The sequence below is a fragment of the Homo sapiens genome, chromosome 2 (genome assembly GCF_000001405.40).
Source record: "Homo sapiens chromosome 2, GRCh38.p14 Primary Assembly".
Taxonomy (NCBI): Eukaryota; Metazoa; Chordata; class Mammalia; order Primates; family Hominidae; genus Homo; species Homo sapiens.
In genome coordinates this window covers 126,422,235-126,426,584 of record NC_000002.12, presented here as the reverse complement: position 1 = coordinate 126,426,584, position 4,350 = coordinate 126,422,235, and positions in this window count along the sequence as shown.

Here is a 4,350-nt window from a genome sequence, read left to right as displayed (position 1 = left end):
TTGCTGAGTTGGGTGCACAGAGAACAAAGTCCAGGGAGGCTGAGGTGGATGACATTTGTGGAACACATTGCCAAAGGAAAGAAATATATACAGAAAGAGTTTCAGACATTCTTGTGGGTGATATTCTTTGATATTTGGCTGGATGCTAATCTTCACATGCATAGAGAGAAATTCCATGAGATCAGCCAAAACAAACAAACAAACAAAATCTGGGAAGCTACAAAGTAAACAGTTCCCGGAATTAATGTAGTGTTGGGGGAAGTTTCAATTCTATATGACTAGACAGGATAAACCACTTCTAAGACACTGAGCAATAAAGACAGTTCCCAAAATTATTACTTAATAGTAAGGATTAATTAATCTTGGAGTAAAGGCTATTCTTGACTTGCCTTCACAAAGCTTATAAACAGGTACAGAATGGATCGACCTGGTCAAAAGATCACTTTATTCCCTGGTAAAACAAACATAATCACCCTTCAAAGTCACACAACCAATTCTGAATTCTCAGCAACATAGAACTCACAATATCCAGCACTTATTTGTATTAATAAATACAAATTTATTAAACATGCACAAATGTAGCAAATTTTGAACAACTAGGTGAAAACTCAATTACTAGAGAAACAGTAACTGAGAAATAGTAGACAGCATTATATATAGCAGATGAAGAGCTTAACACATTTATGCCTAGTGTTCCATTATTGGAACGCTAAGCATGTGAGAGTTATTTGTATCTATCTTACTGCTCAAGGTCATCGCCAAGGTCTAATTTTTCAATTCCAAAAATTGCAACTTCCAGCATCACTGGGTTAAAAGAGCTCTTATAAATATTACTGTGCTTATGGATTTTTTTTTTTTGATGGACTCTCACTCTATTGCCCAGGCTGGAGTGCAGTGGCATGATCTCAGATCACTGCAACCTCCACCTCCCGGGTTCAAGTGTTCAAGTGTTCTCTTGGGATTACATGCTCCTGCTACCACGCCCAGCTAATTTTTTGTATTTTTAGTAGAGACAGGGTTTCACCATATTGGCCAGGCTGGTCTCGACCTCCTGACCTTGTGATCCGCCCAGCCTCGGCCTCCCAAAGAGCTGGCATTACAGGACGTGAGCCACTGAGCCTGGCCGAGTGCTTATGGATCTTAAAGCAAACATGAATATAATAAGAAAAGAGAATAAGAAAAGAGACAACTAGAAACAAAATAAAATATTTTTTTTCTGAAATCTAAAGTACAACTGATGGGATAAACAGTATATTAGATGTTACAAATGAATACCAGTGAAAACAATATACTTTATTGCAAAATGAAGCAGAGTGGAGAAATAATACAAATAATTTTAAAAGCCTTTGTAATTTATGGAATAATATAAAGGAATCTAACATTTGTGTAATTGAAGTCTGAGAAGAAGAGCATATGAAAGTGAGAATAAATATTTAAAGAAATAACAACAAAAAAATTGTTCAAACCTGATGAAAACTAAAAGCCCACAAAAAGGCTTGACAAGCAACTGAATAAATGCAAAGTGATCCACACCAAGGCACATAATAATTAACCTACCAAAAATCCATTATAAGTAGGAAATCTTGCACATCCAGAGAAATAAGACATATAGTTAGAGAGGAATCAAAACAAACACAATTGGAGACGTCTCAGAAATTATGCAATCTAGAAGACAATGGAAACATGACCTTGTAGTATTAGAAAATTGTAAATATCATTTAGAATTCTCTATTTAGTAAATATATTGCCCTAAAATGAAGGCAAATAAAATATAATTTTTATATAAAGTAAGACAAATTTTCAATTCTGAAAACCTTTTTAATTTTTTTTTAATTTTCAATTTTGATAGTTTTATCGATACATGAGGTTTTTGGTTACATGGGTGAATTGTACAGTGGTGAAGTCTGGAATTGTAGTGCACCCATCACCCAAGTAGTGTACATTATACCCAATAAGTAGTTTTTCATCCCTTAGTTCCCTCCCACACTCCCCCATTCACAGTTTCCAATGTCCATTATACCTCTCTGTGTGCCTTTTTGTGCCTGTAGCTTAGCTCCCACTTGTAAGTGAGAATATGTGGTATTTGGTTTTTGACTTATTAATTACTTCACTTAGAATAATGGCCTGCAGTTCCATCAAAGTTTCTGCAGAAGACATTATTTTATCATTTTTTATGGCTGAGTAGTATTCCATGGTGTGTTTGTGTATACCACATTTTCCTTTTTTTTAACTTTTAAGTTTGGGGTACATGTGGAGGTTTGTTATATAGGTAAATTGTGTGTTGTAGGGGTTTGGTGTACACATTATTTCACCCAGGTAATAAGCACAGTACCCGATAGGTAGTTTTTTCATTCCTCACCCTCCTCCCATCCTCTACTCTCAAGTAGGCGTTGATGTCTGTTTTTCTTCTTTGTGTCCATAAGTACTTGATGTTCAGCTTCCACTTATAAGTGAGAATATGTGGTGTTTGGTTTTCTGCTCCTGTGTTAGTTTGCTTAGAATAATGGTCTCCAGTTCCATCCATGTTGCTGCAAAGAATATAATCTTGTTGCTTTTCATGGCTGCTTGGTATTTCATAGTGTGTATGTACCACAGTTTCTTCATTCAGTCTACCATTGATGAGCATTTAGGTTGATTTCATGACTCTGCTACTGTGAATAGCAAAATAAAGGAAAAAAGAAGGAGAGAGAAAAAAGAGAGGAAGGAAGAAAAGAAGAAGGAAAAGAAGGAAGAAATGGAAGAAAGAAAGAGAAAAATAAAATAGAGTTAATAAGTGAATAGTAGAGTTAAAGAGATTTTTTTAAAACTATCATCTCTATCTATCTATCTATCTATCTATCTATCTATCTATCTATCTATCTATCATCATCTATCCTTCTGTTTGTTTGTTTAGAGACAGGGTTTTGCTCTGTGCCCAGGCTGGAGGGCAGTGGCATGATCATAGCTCACTGCAGCTCACTCTTGGGTGCAAGCAATTCTCCTGTCTCAGGCTCCCAAGTAGCTAGTACTACAGCCAGCATGCTTGGCTAATTTTTAAAGTGTTTGTACAGACAGTGTCACACTATGTTGGCTGGGCTGGTCTCAAAACCCTGGCCTCAAGTGACTTTCCCACCTCAGCCCCCAAACCACTGGGATTACAGGTTTAAGCTGCTGTGCCTAGCCTCAAATAATTTAAAGAGGGTAAGAAAAGGGGAAAAATAAACATACAAAGAACAGATGGACCAAAGAGGAAACAAATAGCAGAAAGATTTAAACTGAGTTAAATTATTATTATAATTTTGTGGTATGTATATACATATATATGTGTGTGTGTATAATTTTGTGACATATTTATATATATTTAGATGTAGCAAATTATATATAATTTAGTAAAGTTTTATTGAATGCAAATGATTTAATCAGTTCAACTAAAAGACAAGAAAAGGCAGACTGCATAAAAATGGCCCAATTCTATGCTGTGTACAGAATATACATTTTATTTTATTATGAATTGACAAATTATAGTTATATCTATGGAGCACAAAGTGATGTTATGATTTATGTATATAATGTAGAATAAGTAAATCAAACTAATTAACATATTGTCACCTCAAATAGTTATCATTCTTTGCAGAGAGAACATTTTAAGTTTACTCCTTTAGCCAGTTTGAAATGCACAATATGCTATTATTTACCATATTTACCATGCTGTGCAACAAATATTTTTAAAAAATTAAATGTGTTTCTCCTGTCTGAGACTTTGTACCTATTTTTTTTTTTTTTTTTTTTTTGAGACAGAGTCTTGCTGTGTCACACAGGCCGGAATGCAATGGCACAATCTGGGCTCACTGCAATCTCCACCTCCCCAGTTCAAGCGATTCTCCTGCTTCAGCCTCCTAAGTAGCTGGGATTATGGGCATGCACCACCACGCCCAGCTAATTTTTGTATTTTTAGTAGAGACAGCATTTCTTCATGTTTGCCCAGGTGGTCTTGAACTCATGACATCAGGTGATCCACCTGCCTCAGCCCTTGAGTGCTGGGATTACAGGCTTGAACCCTTGTGCCCAGCCAGACTTTGTACACTTTGACCATTATCTCCTAATTCCTCCAAACACCCAGCCTCTAGTAAGCACCATTCAATACCCTACTTCTATGAATTTGATTGTTTCATATTCCATATCAACAGATGGAATGAAATAAAGAGCCTGGAAATAAACCTATGCATGTATGGTCAGTTGGTTTTTGACACAGGTTCCTAGAATTCACAATAGGAAAAGGACAGTATCTTCATTAAGTGGTGTTAGGAAAGCAAGATATCCATATGCAGAAGAACAAAATTGGACCTTACCTCACACCATATACAAAAGTCA